Source organism: Homo sapiens, chromosome X (assembly GCF_000001405.40).
Source record: "Homo sapiens chromosome X, GRCh38.p14 Primary Assembly".
Taxonomy (NCBI): Eukaryota; Metazoa; Chordata; class Mammalia; order Primates; family Hominidae; genus Homo; species Homo sapiens.
Window position 1 is genome coordinate 153,265,722 of NC_000023.11, and position 17,884 is coordinate 153,283,605.

Below are 17,884 nucleotides of genomic sequence, written 5' to 3' on the forward strand. Positions count from 1 at the left end.
AGTGAGCTAACTCAGGAACGGAAAACCGAATACCGCATGTTCTCGGTGTGAGCTAAGCTATAGGTACACAAAAGTACCTGATCTCGTGTGTTCTGGCGGTGGGAAAGGTGGCCCCTCAGGGAACCTGGCTCCCACGTCCCTGTGCCTCAAGGGAGAACAGAACCTGTGACGCCTTCACTTGCCTCCCTCCATGACCCGTTCTGTGAAACTTCCCCTGCCCCCAGCGCCTAGGCCAAGGAGAATTCCCAGCCCTGTTGCGAATCCTTTCTTGGTTCCCGCGTGAGATTGAGCGGGGTGCCACTGAGTGAGCTCCAGATCGACGCTGAGCCTCGGGGGATGTATTGGCGCTTCCTGCTCTCCGTAGCAAGTCGTCATCCAGCAGAACCTCGGGACGACACTTCGGTTTCTATGACAACCAAGGTAAACGTTTCTTTCCTGGCGGCAGACACACATCGCAAGGATATTTACAGAGCGGACAGCTGGAATAGCTGTAGGAACGTCAAGACTAGTAGGTGTCTGCTATCGATGTGACTGTGTCGGGGGCGGGGGGGAGGTGAGGGCGTATGTGTGAGGATGTGTGTCTGTGTGTGTGTGTGTGACGGTGTGTGCGTGTGTGGGTGTGTGTGTGAGGATGTGTGTGGACATGTGTGTATGTGTGTGCGCGCGTGTGTGTGGATGTGTGTGTGTTTGGGGGTGTGTGTGTGGATGTGTGTGGATGCGTGTGCATGTGTGTGCGTGTTTGTATGTGAGGATGTGTGTGTGAGGATGTGTGTGTGTGAGGATGTGTGTGTGTTTGGGGGTGTGTGTATGGATGTGTGTGTGTGAGGAAGTATGTGTCTCTGTGTGTGTGTGAATGTGTGTGGCATTGAGTTGACTGTCCTGACTCACTGTCCTGAGGTGACACCTGTTGAGCCAGAGCATTGTCACCCGAGTCAGTCCTTTAAAGCAGAGATCCACAAGGATTTCTGAACTCAAAGGAATGTCGCAGGTCTCCTTCAGGATGGAAATTTGCTCGCCTCCTCATTGTAAGAACGTACGATGCATACATTAGGAGAGGGAAATCTGATGCCGGCAAATGAGGAGCTACCATGGGTAGGACTGGAAGGCCTCCTGTCACTTTGAGCAGGCCGGGACTCATGCTGGGCTCATCCTGCGTAGCTGACCCTTGAGACCCATGTTCTGTAAAAGGTGAATTTCCTGGTCTCACTCCGCTAACTACGATGAGGTGAATTGAGTGAAAATCAGTGAGGGCCCCTTCTCGATGACAGAAGCGAAAAACACAGGCTCCTTCACCAGGGCGGGCCATTGTGTTCCTATTGTCTACCAAACGGCTCTGCTCTCCAGGTCGGAGAGCGGTGCAATTGTTCACTAATTGCATCCTCTACTGATGCATGCAATTAGTGAACAGAATAAGGGGAAAACTGGACCGATACCAATTCTCACCCAATGGTGCTACAAGTGCACTGCAAACCCTAGGAAAGCGTAGACCTGTCTCTAAAGTTACGTTGAAAGTTTATGTGCAATTCACCAGCGCAAACGGAAGGTGTAGGAATACACAAGAATGTACTTCCTTTAGAGAAACCATTTAATACACGGTGCCTTTATTGTACTAAAGGATGCCGCCAGCTCATCCTTTGAAGGAAACACCTGTTTGGGGGAAGGTCTAAAATCACACACCCAGCAGCCGACGGGAGCTCCACAAAGCTCTGGTAATGCTAGGGAGGGGTGCTGGAGGGAGGATGCATGCCTCTCGGTGGGAGGGGGACCACGTCAGGAAACGGACCCCACTTTGAGAAGAGCTGCTGAGGACTGTGTTCTTTTACTTGTTCCTAAAAAGTAAATGAACCCTCACTTGAGAAAGGAATTAACACAGGGCTTCCAAAATAATTATCCCCCAAATCATGGCTGTCGTTGGGAGAAATAAAAGCTCACGGTCTTCTAGTTCCTTCATCCCTCAACTAAAGAGCAAATGGAATAGAATAAAAGTTATATACCAAAAATAGAAAATGCTCTACTGATAATGTCTTTAGGGACCTAAAATGGACTGTGATGTTATAGATTGTAGACTCACTATTTATCCTGTCTTCCTTTTATGTTCATCTGCTTAGTCTCATTGTGCAGGTGGTGTTTGATTTCATTTTGAAGTAAAATATTCAACACATTGTCCTACTCACTCAATAGTCTGAGAACTTGGGTTCACTCACAAAACTGAGTTGGGCTTAGTGAATGTTCCCTTTTTATCTCATAGATCCCGGTATGCGGAAGTAGATCAATATTTGCACATCGTGATCTAGCTGGATCTGCAATATAGACAGGTAAAGGTAAACCTAGACAGACATAGATGTAGACCTGTCTAGCTATCTTGCTCTATCTCTAGCCACTCTGCTGTCCATCCATCATCTCTCTGTCTTCATCCATCTCTATCTTTATCTCTATCCATCCATCTATCACCTATCTATTCTTATCATTCTTCATATCTATCAAGCCGCTATCTTCTATAAAATTATATTTATCTATCTCTATATCCAACTGTCTTTCTCTCTATATATCTCTTCATCATCTGTCTCCACCATCTATGTCTCTATCTCTGGCTCTCTATTATTCTGAATATCTATAGACCTTCTAGCTAATATATATCTTTATCTATCTCTATCTTTTATCCATCTATTTTTATCTATCCCTATGAGTCATTCAACCTCATCAATCTATATCCATCTCTACCTGTATGCATCCATCTATCTATCTGTCTATCCATCTGTCTATCCCCCATCTACCTGCCTACCTACCTACCTACCTCTCTCTCTCTCTCTAGAGGGAGGGAAAACAATTGTGTTTCCCTTAGTACAAAATATGGGGAGAAAGTCACCAGCAAGACTATATGCAAACCCTTGATAGAAGGTATTTGGGCGATGGGCCAACGCATGTGGTGAGAGAACATTTCATATTTTGATTTCACACACTTCCCTTCTGATGATCTCTCTTAAGGAGGCATGGCTTTGGCCATCCGAACTTAGCTGCAATGGATATTTTGGAGGTCTGTAGGAGGCAGTCCCTTAAACTGTTTCACACCTGTAAAGATGTTGCCAGATGCCAATACTGAAGAATATTCAAATGGCTGTGCAAACTTTAAGCTTTTAAATATCTTGTAGAAATATACATGTATAAACAGGACAAAAATTCTGGAGTGTGTGGACTCATATACTTGCAATAAGCATTTCTGGGTGATGGGATTGCTGATGCTTACTATATTTCCTATTTAGAAATTTTAGACATCCCTTTAGATGTTTCCCTGTCTATGTTTAAAATAAGAAACTAAATGGAGAAGAAAACAGCATTTGTACTGGAAGCAGAAACATTTGCAGGAATGTGTAGAGGCAGTGAGCATGGATTCTATGCATCAATGCCAGGCTCCTTGAGTTTCCAACGTGTGTGTGTGTGTGTGTGTGTGTGTGTGTGTGTGTGTGTGTGTGTGTGGAGAGAGAGAGAGAGAAAGAGAGAGAGGAAGAGAGGAGAGACTCTGCATTTGGGGATGTGGGTAGGCATTGACTTGGGCTTGAGGGTGCCCAGTCACACCTGTTTTGTGACATGGGCTGGCAGGTCCAGTTAAGGGGAGATTGAAGTGCCAGGGTCATTGGTGATTCCTTCTCACTTTTGTTCGGGGTCCTCAGTTGACACTTGTGCTTGACAACCCAGTACTCTGAGTTCTCTAAAGAAGAGGGCATTAAACCTGTACGTTCATATACCCTCGTCTAAGAAAGGTTTTGTACAACTTTTCCCTAAAGTATGTATATCTCATCATCATTATACATTTCATATTACATCTACCAGTGCCCGTGAACAAAGACACACATACATGCATTTATTAAGAAAATAATTATTGGCCTATGAAACCTGTAATTTGAAGTCCACAATGCATGAGCTAAAATATGTAAGTGAGCTATGATACCCAATGTTGCACAGTACCAAATATTGTACAATGGCTATAGAAAACAACAACAGGCTAGCAGAGTATTTCGATGTGGAAGGTGGGAAGTGAAGGATTGACAAAAGAGTTGCATCTTCGGTGCACGTTTCTATAATATGGGACATTTCATTAAATAAAGTTTGGAACTAGCAGGGAAACCTCACTGTACAGACGTTCACACAAATGAGGTAGGAACACGGGCATTCACAAGACAATGTATCCAGTTATGCTCTTAGGTTAGGAGCTCCAGTTGAAGATGATATGTGCATGTGTGTGTGCACATTGGCGCATCGGCAATGCCTTGGAAGCGGGCACATTATCATGTAGACTGAGATTCTGTGACGTGATGTCCTTTCACATGTCTGTCTACACATCTCATATTCTATGCTAACCCATTTCATGTTATTTGAGAATCAGAAAAACACAATAACATGACAAGACTCACCTGTCATGTTTCCTCATTTTATCAATCTCGTTGAGCACATTTCATTTCTCTCTCTCTCTCTCTCTCTCTCACACACACACACAGAGAGAGAGAGAGAGAGAGGAGAGAGAGAGAGAGAGAGACTGCTAACATGGAATCCTTCTGTCTTAGGGGGATGCTCTCGGGAAAGCACTAGTTCCCAAGGTTCTGAAATGGAAAAAGACTAGCATACGCTAAGTGGCATAACAGGGAAATTGTTTGAGATGCAAAAGAAGGCAGAAAACAAAGATGACAACTACGTGATGCCTGAGATGAAGACGTCAGTTCTGTTTCAAAAGGGCATGCATTCAAGAGTTGGGGAGGGGAACAGGATAAATCACTTGATTGGCTTAATTTCCTATCTGTGTTTGTGTTTCCAGGTTGACATTAGGAGTGCATAGGTCCTGAGCATCTACACGCGGTGCCACTGGGTCGCCAGAAGAACAGCGCACTTCAGGGGCACAGAGTGGGGTTGAAGGGTCTGCACACCAGCGCTTGCAGTGTGAGCAGCAAGAGATCCAGCTCACAGAACCAAACCTGCTGCGATCCATGTGACACTGGGTAAGATTTCCCCATTTACTAAACATTCACTTGCATTCACCTCACGCTGACATTTCACAGTGGAATTTTCCTTGCCCATCGTTGTACAGACACTTGTTTTCAGGATAAGAGTCACTGATTTGGTGTCGGCAGGCAAAAGTTTAAAACCACGGTAGAGAGGTGCAGATGGCAGCCAGTGACCGCTGCCTGCAGCGATCCTCACGACCGATGGTAGCCAGTAATCACCAGGATGATCGCCACGCAGCTCTGGGTTCTGGGTGCTCTTGCACATGACATGGTGCCGACACCCAGCATCTGCATGTGGGAGACCTCCTCGGGCTTCCTGGGAAGCACAGGTCCATACTAGCACCCTAGAAATAAAAACATGAAGCATTTCCCCAGGTTTCCGCCCAAGGAGCCCAAAGGCACAGAATACTCAGTAAGAAACGTGGGGTCCCTGCTGGTACACCCACCTCCCCATGCAGGTGCTCCTCAAGACGGAATTGTTAAAATTAGGAGAAGGCCTTGGGTTTGCTGTGTAATAAAGCTTCTGTGGACCTTCTGTATGATCCCAAATACTTGCCATCTGTCTATCCCTCTGTCTAAGACTCACTTGTCACGTTTCCTTATTTTATCAACCTCACTGAGCAGGGTGCTTCGCGTTTCACGAAAGGATGCTTTCCTGATACATTTCCGCTCTCCCTTTACCATGTTGCAGCATACTCCAGAATTGTCCATTGGAAACACGAGTTCAAGTGCCTCAGGGAGATTCAGGAGGAGGAACACAGCCCACCCACACTGCACCCCCTTTGCAGTCTGAAGGCAAGGGATGCTCTGAAGAGCAGCTTGGTTTAGGAGAGACCTACGGTAGCAGAGGGTGTGGCAGGCAGACCCCTCGGCCTCCCTTAGCTACCTTTTCCCAGCTCATCATGGACTCGGAGTACGTCCTATGCTCTTGGAAAGGCCGACTATGGCCAGCAAAGGTTTTGTGCACACGTGGGACTTCACCAAAAACGAAGCCTGAAAAGGCGATTTCTCTAGAAGTTCAAATCCTCGCAGTAGATGAAAAAATCAAGGTGAAAAGCACAGACGTGAAGACCCCAACTAAGTTTGAGATGGAAGACATTGCCGCCTCTGCAGCAGCACAGACGAAGCTCGGTGCCCCACTCAGAGAGAAGATGGGGTACAGAGGAACCCTTCGGGTGGCCCTGGAGATTCTGAAAGAGAGAACAAATCTGGGTGGAGGAAGGAAACCACATGAACTAGAGAGCACCACACCCTCTCAGCTTTCTCAAAAGGTGCCCGAAAAGCCAGCCAGTTCTGTCCCTCGTGAAGATGACTGGAGATGCAAAGGCGACCTAAGGAGGAGTCTTGGGAAGAGGGAAAACCCAAGCTCACCGACGGTCCCTTCAGAGAGTAAGCGTGCCCTGCGGGATGACAGGTCGCAGGAGCCCACAGCCATTGCCCCTACTCCAGGCGCCCTGCCCGGGGACAGGTCAGGGGCGCCCAGGGCCATTGCCCCTACTCCAGGAGCCATGCTCAGTGGCAGGTCACGGGCACGCAGGGCCATTGCCCCTACGCCAAGCGCCCTGCGAGGTTACAGGTCTTGGGCGCACAGGGCCATTGCCCCTACCCCAGGCTGCCTGTACAGTGACAGGTCACGGGCGCACAGGGCCATTGCCCCTGCTCGAGGCACCAAGCATGGTGGCAGGTCATGGGCATGCAGGTCCATTGCCCCCAAACCAGGCTCCCTGTGCGGGGACAGGTCACAGGCGAGCAGGGCCATTGACCCTACCTTAGGCGCCAGGCGCGGTGGCAGGTCACGGGCCCACAGAGCCATTGCCCCTACTCCAGGCTCCCTGTGCGGCAACAGGTCACGGGCTTGCGGAGCCATTGCCCTTACTCCAGGTGTCCTGTGCGGTGTCAGGTCACGGGTGCCAAAGGACATTACCCCTACTCCAGGCGCCCTGCGAGGTTACAAGTCATGGGTGTGCAGGGCCATTGCCCCTACTCCAGGTGCCCTGCGCGGAGACAGGTCAGCAGCACGCACGGCCGTTGTCCGTACTCCAGGTGCCCTTGGCAGGGACAGGTCACGGGCACGCAGCGCCATTGCTTCTACTCCAGGGACCCTGCAGGGAAACAGGTCATCTGTGTCCAAGGCCATTGCCCCTACTCCAGGTGCCCTGCGTGGAGACAGGTCAGCAGCGCGCACGGCCTTTGTCCCTACTCCAGGCGCCCTTCACAGGGACAGGTCACGGGCCCGCAGCGCCATTGCTTCTACTCCAGGGACCCTGCGGGGAAACACGTCATCTGCGTGCAAGGCCATTGCCCCTACTCCAGGTGCCCTGCGAGGTTACAAGTCATGGGCGCGCAGGGCCATTGCACCTAACCCAGGTGCCTGGCGCGGTTACAGGTCAACGACAGGCACCGCCATTGCACCTAATCTGGGCGCCCTGGGCGGCAACAGGTCAGCGGCACGCACGGACATTGCCCCTACTCCAGGCGCCCTGCGAGGTTACAGGTCATGGACGCGCAGGGCCATTGCCCCTACTCCAGGCACTCTGAGCAGTTACAGGTCACGGTCCCGCAGGACCATTGCCTCTACTCCAGCCACCCTGCGTGGTGAAAAGTCACGGGCGCACACCAGCCTTGCCCCCACCCCAGGTGCTTTGCGCGGTGACGGTTCACGAGCACGCAGGGCCATTGTCCCTACTACATGCCCATTGTGCGAGATATGGTCACGGGTGGGCATAGGCATTGCCCCTATTGCAGATGCCCTGCGCCGTGACAGGTCACCAGTGCGCAGGGCCATTGCCCCTACTCCAGGCACTCTGAGCGGTTACAGGTCACGGGCACGCACGGCCATTGCCCCTACTCCAGGCACCCTGCGAGGTTACAGGCCACGGTCCCGCAGGGCCATTGCCTCTACTCCAGCCACCCTGCGTGGTGAAAAGTCACGGGCGCACACCAGCCTTGCCCCCGCCCCAGGTGCTTTGCGCGGTGACGGTTCACGAGCACGCAGGGCCATTGTCCCTACTACATGCCCATTGTGCGAGATATGGTCACGGGTGGGCATAGGCATTGCCCCTATTGCAGATGCCCTGCGCCGTGACAGGCCACCAGTGCGCAGGGCCATTGCTCCTACTCCAGGCGCCCTGCGCTGTGACAGGTCACGAGAGCTCACAGCCATTGATCCTACTCCAGGAGCTCTGTGCAGTGACAGGTCAGGGGCAAGCAGGGCCATTGCCCCCACTCCAGGCACTTTGTGCAGTGAAAGGTCCCGGGTGCGCAGGGCCATTGCCCCTACTCCATGCGCACTGTGCGGGAAGGGGTCACAGGTGGGCATGGGCGTTGCCCCTACTCCAGGTGCACTGCGCAGGGACAGGTCACAGGCAGGCAGGGCCATTGCACCTACTCCATCCGCACTGTTCAGGGTTGGGTCACGGGTGGGCACAGGCATTGCCCTTCCTGCAGGTGCCCTGCACCGTGACAGGTCACCGGTGCGCAGGGCCGTTGCTCCCACTCCAGGCACCCTGCACTGTGACGGGTCACGAAAATGCACGGCCACTGGTTCTACTCCAGGAGCCCTGCCCGGCGACAGGTCAGGGGTGAGCAAGGCCACTGCCCCTGCTCCAGGCGCCTTGTGCAGTGAAAGGTCCCGCGCACGCAGGAGCATTGCCCCTACTCCATGTTTACTGTGCGGGGACAGGTCATGGGTGGGTATGGGCATTGCACCTACTCCAGGCGCCCTGCTTGGTGGCAAATCAAGGAAATGCAGGGCCATTGCTATTACTCCCGGCGCCCTGCGTGGTGGCAGGTCACAGAAACGCAGGGTCGTTGCTCCTACTCCAGAGGCCCTGCACGGTGACGGGTCATGGACTTATATGGCCATTGCTCCTACTCCAGGTGCCCTGCACGGTGACAGCTCACCAGCCCACACGTCCATTATTCCCTCTCCAGGCGCCCTGCATGGTGACGGGCCACCAGCGCACATGGCCTTTCCTTCTACTCCAGGCACCCTGCATGGTGATGCCTCTCACGCACACATGGCCATTGCTCCTACTCCAGGCACGATGCGCGGTGACAGCTCAACAGCGCGCACGGCCACTGCCCCATCTCCAGGGGCCCTGCGAGGTGACAGGTCATGGAAACGCAAGGCCATTGCTTCTACTCCAGGTGCCCTGCATGGTAACAGGTCTGACAGGTCACGGAAATGCAAGGCCATTGCTTCTACTCCAGGCACCCTGCACGTTGAGAGGTCACCAGCACTCAGGGCCATTGTTCCAACTCCAGGCACCCTGGGCCGTGACAGCTCACCAGGGCGCACGTCCATTATTCCTTCTCCAGGCGCCCTGCATGGTGACAGGTCACCAGCACACCTGGACATTGCTTCTACTCCAGGCGCCCTGCACGGTGACAGCTCTCAGGCACACACGGCCATTGCTCCTACTCCAGGCACCATGCGCGGTGACAGCTCAACAGCTCGCATGGCCATTGCCCCATCTGCAGGGGCCCTGAGAGGTGACAGGTCATGGAAACGCAAGGCCATTGCTTCTACTCCAGGTGCCCTGCGTGGTAACAGGTCTGACAGGTCACGGAAACGCAAAGCCATTGCTTCTACTCCAGGTGCCCTGCTCGGTAACAGGTCTGACAGGTCACGGAAACACAAGGCCATTGCTCCTACTCCAGGTGCCCCGCGCATTGACAGGTCACCAGCATGCAGGGCCATTGCTCCTACTCCAGGCGCCCTGGGTGATGACAGCTCAACGGCCATTGCCCCTACTCCAGGGACCCCGCGAGGTGACAGTTCGCCAGCAAACACGGCCATTGCTTCTACTCCAGGCGCCCTGCACGGTGACACCTCTCAGACACACAAGGCCATTGCTCCTACTCCAGGTGACCTGGGCGGTGGCAGCTCATCAGCGCACAAGGCCATCACTCCTTCTCCAGGTGCCCTGCATGGTGACAGGTCACCAGCACACACGGCCATTGCTTCTACTCCAGGAGCCCTGCATGGTGACAGCTCCCAGGTGCACACGACCATTGCTCCAACTCCAGGCGCCCTGCGCGATGACAAGTCATGGAAACGCAAGGCCATTGCTCCCACTCCAGGCACCCTGCACTGTGACAGCTCACGAACGTGCACCGCCTTTGCTCCTACTCCAGGCGCCCTGCATGCTGACAGGTCACCAGCGCACCAGGACATTACTCTTACTTCAGGCGCCCTGCACTGTGACAGCTCAAGAGAAAGCAGGGCCGTTGCTCCTATTCTAGGCGCCCTGCACCGTGTCGGCTCTCAGGCACACAAGGCTATTGCTTCTACTCCAGGCCCTCTGCGCGGTGACAGCTCACCATTTCACACAGCCATTGCACCTATGCCAGGGGCCCTGCATGGTACCAGGTCATGGAAACGCGAAGCCATTTCTCAGACTCCATTTGTCACCCTGTGTGGTGACAGCTCAGGAGAACGCATGGCCATTGCTCCTACTCCAGGCGCCCTGCACAGTGACAGGTCACAGACACATACGGCCATCGATCCTACTCCAAGTGTCCTGCGCAGTGACAGCTCACCAGCGTGCATGGCCATTGATCCTACTCCAGGTGCCCTGGGCAGGGACAGGTCACAGGCGCTCATGGCCATTGCTCCTACTCCAGTTGGAATGCAAGCACATGTGTTGCAAAGCCCCCGAGCCTGCCAGGATTCCCTGACGCTTTCGCGGCATGTTTGTGAGAAAAAGGGGAAGAAAAGGGCAAACGCCTCGACTCTTATGTCCCTGCCTCCCACAGTAACGGAGGAGGGTGCATCTCTGCCTCCAGGTCTCACCAGCCCTGCACCCCCCGCTCTGAAGGAAGAGACACAGGACAGCCGCCCGAAGAAGGCCCTGGCTGCATCCCCGGAAAGTTCTCCCTTCTCGGGAAACATTCAGGACCCCGGAGAGGGTGCCTGGAAGCCAGGCTGGGCAGGTATGGCTGCATCCTCTGGGTCCCGTCAGCACAGGCTGCCTTCTTCACTCCGGCTTGCCAATAGAAAAAGGAAGCGTCCAGGTCCAGATTTTCAGAGGAGACCTCAAGGACCTCAGACGCCTGGTGACGCTAAGCTTGCTAATCCTGTCACCACCATTCAAAGGGCTGGCGGTAAACAGGATGGGCAGCCCCCCAGCCTTGCTTTTCCACAGGAGCCACATCCCATCGAAAGGGGAACGATGGTCTGGTTCAAATTTCAAGATCATCCGTTTTGGCCAGCAGTGGTCAAGAGTGTCAGCAACACAGACAAGACCGCGAGGGTGCTCCTGCTTGAGGCCAACCTGCACCATGGAAAGCGGGGCATTCAAGTTCCTCTTCGAAGGCTGAAGCACCTGGATTGTAAGGAGAAAGAGAAACTGCTGAAGAGAGCCCAGAAGGCCTACAAGCAAAGCGTCAACTGGTGCTTCTCACTGATCTCCCACTACAGAGAAGGACTGGTCCGGGGTTCTTTCCGGGGCTCTTTCCTGGACTATTATGCCGCAGACATCAGCTACCCAATCAGGAGAGCCATCCAAGAGGGAGACCTGCAGATTGACTTTCCAAAGGTGAATTATGGCGACCTGGAAGACTGGGAGGAGGAGACCTCCCTGGGCGGGAAGAGGCCTTGCAAGAAAATCCTCCCGGACCGGATGAGGGCCTCTTGGGACCGAGACAACCAGAAGCTCGTGGACTTCATCGTGAGGAGAAAGGGGGCCGACCCCCACCTTCTGGACATCTTGCAAGGCAGGAAGCAGTCCAGGTGGCTGACCGCGTTTCTGAAGCCACACAGGGATTTGCACTGCATTGAAACATACCTGGAGGATGACGATCAGTTGGAAGTCGTGGCCAAGCATTTACAAGAAATCTACAAGCAAATTGACAAGGCCAGGCTGACTCTGATAAGGGATGACAAAGTCAATTTTGTTCTGGAAGTTCTTCTGCCGGAAGCCATGATTTGTACCATCGCCGCACTTGATGGGCTGGATTACAAGGCAGCAGAGGAGAAGTACCTGCGAGGACCACCTGTGCATTACCGGGAGAAAGAGCTGTTTGACAGAAATATCTTAAAGAAGGCAAGAAGAGAACCAGCAACCACCCATACAGCTAATTAGCTCCCGCCTGCCTCCCCCGCACCCATACCTTCCCAGGGAGCTGCCTCCTTTCTAGAATTAATGAGGAAGCCTCCTCCCTTCCCCAACGCGTGTAAGTATGTTCTGGATATTCGAGACTTTGGGAATGTGAGGAATTCATTTGGGGCCCATCTCTCGCATGTGCTGGTGGCACATTCATCACCAGGTCTTCATCGCAAACTCGTGAAGAGCTATTTTGTTAAACGATTGCAACCCCTTGCGATTCCCTCAACGTCTTTGGATGTGTAGTTGTCCCGATAGGTTTGAAAGACAAGAGCATTGATTTTCATAACGTGTCTTTTGACTGGACTTGGTACTTTCACTTAGGACCTATATTCTTTTACACAAAAAGCCACTGGTATCAGCTTTTAAACAACAATAATTTTTAAAGCCTAATGTATATTTTTATGGAAACGTCAGTGAGACTTTTCATTCTTTTGGCGATACGTGGATAGAAACCATCAGATTCCTCTTTCAGATAATTCCTGCCTTTTCCCTGCTAGGCTTGTTTATTTTTTGAAAAGTAGCCCCGAGAGTTGAATCCCATGAGAGAGTCATTTTCTCCTATGTTAACACGACCTTCCGATACTTTTTCAAAAAGCAAACTGCAGGCCAAACATGAAGTTACCGAATGGCTTGCACGTAGTCCATATGTGCTTGAGTGAAATCTCAGTGTGCAGTGAGCGTCTTGTCAGCCTCATGCAAGATTGTCGCTCTGCATTTCCCTGAAATTCCACACCCTCCTTCAACGGCTGAACTGTTTCCTAGAACAGGCTTCAGGCTGTCTTCATAACTGACAGTGATGGATCTTCTCCCTCTAACTGTCGGTCCCCTGTGGAGGGCAGCTAGAGCCATCTCCTTCTTGGCCTGGCTTCTCTCCACCTGTGTGGCTGGCCCAACTGCTTAGGAGCCCGTCTACCTGCCCGTAAACTGGAGTAAAGCCAGCTCCTTGTTCTGGATCCAGAATCCCCCAAGACGTGGCCATTTGTCTCAATGTCACCAAGCTTCATCTTCCAACTTATTCACGGGCCGGCTCCAACAGGTCCCAACAATCTAGACACAGGCTGGTAAGCCATTCCCGGCTGCTAGAGGCGCCAGGGCTGGGAGTTGGAAAAATGGGTCACAGGGGCAGCCTTCATTCCGCTAAGTGGGGCCGGCCCTTGGTGGAATAATATTAAACAGATGCAATTCAGACCTAAGTTGTGAAGCCCACAGATTGCTAGGCTAACTTGAAACAAGATGGTTTTTGAGGATAAGTGTTATGGAAAAGCCAGTTTGTTTTTCAAACTTGATGCTAAAATAAACGTGAAGGCCTTCACATGAACCTGAGTCCTTTTTTAGTTCTTAGAGGAAGTCACCTGTTCTCATGAGACCATGTTATGTGTTCACATGGCCATGTGTTGGGGCGACATTGGCAGAGGAGCTGTTTGGAGTCACCTTAAAACCACTGTGTCTCCCACCTTGAACTTCAGCTGTGTCATGCTTGAGATTGTCCAAATCCATAGGTGGAAGGTCTAGGAAATATATAGACACACTTCCAAAGCAATAATAGCTTGGAAATTCTGACGAAATTTTAGAAGAGAGCCTTCCAAGTGGTGTATACATCAGACCCGACGGAACCCTCTCTAGACTCTGCCTGAGTGTGACCAAGACTCCTGGGCACACTGCCTGGGCAGTCCATGTGACATCCTCATGGCCCCGGCAATTATTTGGAAACAGATCGTCTCCGTGCTGTGTGTGGACCTCACACACCGAGACAACACACTTTAGTTACTCCACAACACTGTCTCCCCGAGTCCAACATATCACCTGAGTTCAGCTTTCTCATGGAGCCATGTTTATCTCTAGCTTCTAATATTACTTTCCTACCCCATTCATTCATTCCTGACCTCATGCTAGATCGGGAGAGCAAGTGAGGTGTGGTTGAAGGCTCTGCTCTGAAGACCGACTTCAGGTGACATAGAAACAGACGGGAATGTGGTGACTCAGGTGACAACCTAATCTTTAAGGTAACAAGGATGCACTGCTTCCCTCTGTCAGTGAGAAATTCTCACCAGTGTCATGGGCCGACGGCCTGTTTTTGAGAGCACAGCCCCAGGTTCACCCAACTATGTGAGGTCATAGGTGCCTGTTGGCTTGGGGTGAAGGGAGGAGACCTGGTCTCTCTTGGATGTCACTGACACCTGGGGCATCCACTGAAGAGAGGCAGACATGCCTCGGACATGCATCTATTCTCCTCCTCCTTGAATCAGGGTCACTGAAAGGCATCCGGGGCACGTGTGTGGGTTGAGGGATATATAGACTCTGAGATCCTTTCCAGCCTGAGCAGGTGCTGCGGCCCCTCCATGATTGCCCTCAGCTGGACCTCCATCACAGGTGCCTGTGTGTTTGATGACAGAGCCCAGCCTGTCACCCACCCTGGCCCGCTAGGTTAAGGTGACCTCCTCTTCTCCAGTCAGAAGGAAGACTGCTGCCCATCAGGCCCTGATCTTAACTGTTGCTTGGCAGAGCTGCACACACAGAGACGGCTCACACCACATTCGTAGGTCTCTATATCCAAGTAAGCAACTGATGGGGAAAGAGGGGAACCCTCAGATTTGTAAGAGTGATGCCCATGAGAATTTTGAATACCTAGAATCTCCTGAACCCTCACCCTGGCATTAGCAACCACCTAACCCTTGCTAATTGGGGAGCAATCCCCTTATTCATGGAGGCTCTGTAAAGACCTCGTCCAAGGGAGCTGCCGTAAAGGAAGTTGCCTTCGAGCCTGTAATTCCAGCACACTGAGAGGCCGAAGCAGGAGCATCGCTTGGATCTAGGAGTTGGAGACCAGTCTGGGCAACATAGTAAGACTCTGTCTCCACAATAATAAACATTTAAAAACTACACAGGCGTGGTGGTATGTGCCTATAGTCCCAGCTACTCGGAAGGCTGAGGCGGGAGGATTGCTTGAGCTCAGGAGGTTGAGGCTGCAGAGAGGTATGATGGCACCCTCGCACTCCAGCCTGGGAGACAGAGCAAGACCCAGTCTCTAAGAAAAAAAATTGCTTGTCTTACCTAACATCCATCCCGCTAACTTTCATCGCTCTGACAAGCGCGAAGTTTGAATAGGAAAGATCACAGCACAGAAGAGAAATACGGTTTCTGTTTGGGTGGGAAATACCTCATATTCAGATAAGCTGCAGAAGCTGGCTAGTTCGCCTTGGCATGACCTGGGACAGCATAGGTGGGAATGGATTTTGGGCATGCGGAACCAGCAAGACAGCAGACAGAATACAGTTCAATATAGGGGAGAGTGTATTTACGTGGGAGCACGGAGCTATAAGGTGGGGTTCCCTGTCTTGGGGCTGGCCTCAGATCCTGCTGGGCTGGCAGCTTCACGTTTGGACAACAGCCTACAGTAAATGACATGGAGTTATGGGAACTGCCTTGGCAGAATATTGACCAATTGGTGAAAGGGTTGAGCGGAGAGCAGTATTAGATGTGATTCATTATGTGAGACCAGTGGCCCTACCTGTGAATGTTGTCCCCTTCGAGGGCTGAGAAGACACTCTAAAATGAGGAATTTGCTAGTGGGGTGGCCCCGGCATCTTTGAGAGCCTCTGCTTTGACTCCTCTCAAAACAATGGTTGGAAGCAAGCGACGCCGCCATGGAACTGGCAGGCAATGAGAGGATTCTCAAATGGCAGGGTCCAGACGGTGACACAAAATTACCAGGGCTCAGGTGGGCACCACTGTCGTACTGGGCAGCACAATCAGGGTGGGGTCAGGCTCATTTGATGAACAGGGACCTGTGGCAACGTTACAGATTGTAGTATCTCAGGGCCTGCATGTAAGGACAGCTGACTGGACTATTACTTGATTTTTATTAAAAGAATAACATGAGCTGGCAAGCAGAAGGCTGATGTTAGCAGCTGCCGTGGAAAACTGTGGTCCCCCACCGAGGGTCCAGATCTGTCAGTTCATAGGCCCAGAGCTTATTGATGGAAGTGGAGGTCAGAAACACTCAGCCACACATTCTCCCAGAAAACCTGTGGCTATTTACCAACATAAATAATGCAGTTCTGTCTAAAGTTCTTCTAACCGGGGATCCGATAGTTCTTTGGACCCATCCCAAGTTTGTTTCCCTCAGGACCTAGTTGTCAGTGATGTACTTTGGATGTTGCATCATCTTCATGTTGGTTCAAGCAACATTACATAGAAAGGTACATATGGGAGCCTACTAAGCTGCTCCCTCTTTACAATACAGGAACAAAGAAGTAATACCACTTCTATAGTGAAAACGAAGAGAAGACCCAAATTTCTAAATCAGAAATGAAAGCAAGGACATTGCTACTTACCTTACAGGGATTAAAAAAAAAGACTCTAAGAGTGTATCATGAGCAATTTTACATTAAGAATGAATCTAGAGGAAACAGACAAATTATTAGAAGCACACAACTAACAAACTGGCTCATAAACAAAGAGAAATTCTCTATAGACCTATAACAAGTGAAGAGATTGGTTTTGTTATCAAAAATCTCAGAACAAATAAAAGCCCAGCACCAAGTGGCTTCACCAGTAAACTCTACCACACCTTTAAAGAAGAATTAACATAACTCCTTCTCAAACTCTTCCAAAAAATAAAAGAGGAGGGGAGTCTTCCCAACTCCTTCTATGAGGCCAACATTACCATGACACTAAAGGAAGAAAAAGACACCATAGGAAAACTACAGGCGATGACCCTTATGAAAACAAAGTTTAAAAATCCTCAAAAAAATGCTAGCAAATACAGGAGGCTGAGGCAGGGGGATATCCTGAGCCCAGGAGTTTAAGACTGCAGTAAGCTATGATGGTACCACTGCAGTCCAGCCTGGGTGACGGAGTTAAATGCCATCTCCAAAGAAAAAAAAAGTAATAGCAAACAAAATTGGGCAGCATAGTAACAGGGTTATGCACCACGACCAAGTGAGATTTATTGCAAGTGAGATCAGTGTGAGGGTGGTCCAACACGAAAATCAGACAACGTAATACACCACATTAATAAAATGAAGGAAACAAACCACGTGATTATCTCAAATGGTGTGGAAAAAGCATCTGAGAAAATCAAACACTCTTTCATGATAAGGACACTCAGAAAAATAAGAAGAGAATTTCCTAAACATGAAAAGGGTCATTCATGAAAAATCCACAGCTAAAATCACGCTCGATGGTGAAAAAATAAAAGCTTTCTCCCTAAGATCATGACCAAGACAAGATGTTCACTTTCACCACTTCTAGTCAACAGTTTACTTGAAGTTGTAGCCAAAGCAATTAGGCAAAAAAAAAAAAAAAAGAAAAGAAAAGAAAAAGAAACAAAAGACATCCAATTTGGAAAAGAAGAAATAGAATGACCTAGACCCATAGATGGCATGTTCTTATATATAGAAACTCCCAAAGAATCCACCAAACAAAGCCATCAGAGCTAATGACAAAGTCAGCAAAGTTATAGGATACCAGGTCAATATGCAAGATCCATTTGCATTTCCACACATTATGAACAATTTGAATAGGAAATTAAGAAAACACTTCTATTTACGATAGCCTTAAAGAGAACAAAATACTCAGGAATAAATTTAGCCAGGGAGATGTACACTGAAAACCACAAAACACTATTGAAAGAAATAAAAGACCTAAACAAATGGAAAGCCATACTGTGTCCATGGACTGGAAGATGTAATGTTGCTATAATATAAAATTGTTATTGTTTAGGGAGATGAAAATACTCCCCCAATTTACCTACTTATTCCATGCAATCCCTCTCAA

General features: G+C 50.5%; 1 protein-coding gene across 2 annotated transcripts; it reads left to right on the forward strand.

The window, feature by feature from the left end:
• The first annotated feature begins 425 nt into the window (after nucleotides 1-425).
• Nucleotides 426-13,424, forward strand: PWWP4 (PWWP domain containing 4). 2 transcript variants are annotated; one of them, XM_047442418.1, is made up of 4 exons: nucleotides 426-508; nucleotides 2,249-2,315; nucleotides 4,808-4,988; nucleotides 5,686-13,399. In XM_047442418.1, the coding sequence occupies exon 4, from the start codon at nucleotides 5,897-5,899 to the stop codon at nucleotides 12,080-12,082; it is 6,186 nt and encodes a 2,061-aa protein (XP_047298374.1). In that variant the 5' UTR covers nucleotides 426-508; nucleotides 2,249-2,315; nucleotides 4,808-4,988; nucleotides 5,686-5,896; the 3' UTR covers nucleotides 12,083-13,399. The 2 variants fall into 2 exon arrangements, with proteins under 2 accessions (XP_047298374.1, NP_001382925.1); NM_001395996.1 differs by having other exon boundaries at nucleotides 431-508; nucleotides 2,249-2,321; nucleotides 5,686-13,424.
• Nucleotides 13,425-17,884: the final 4,460 nt, after the last annotated feature.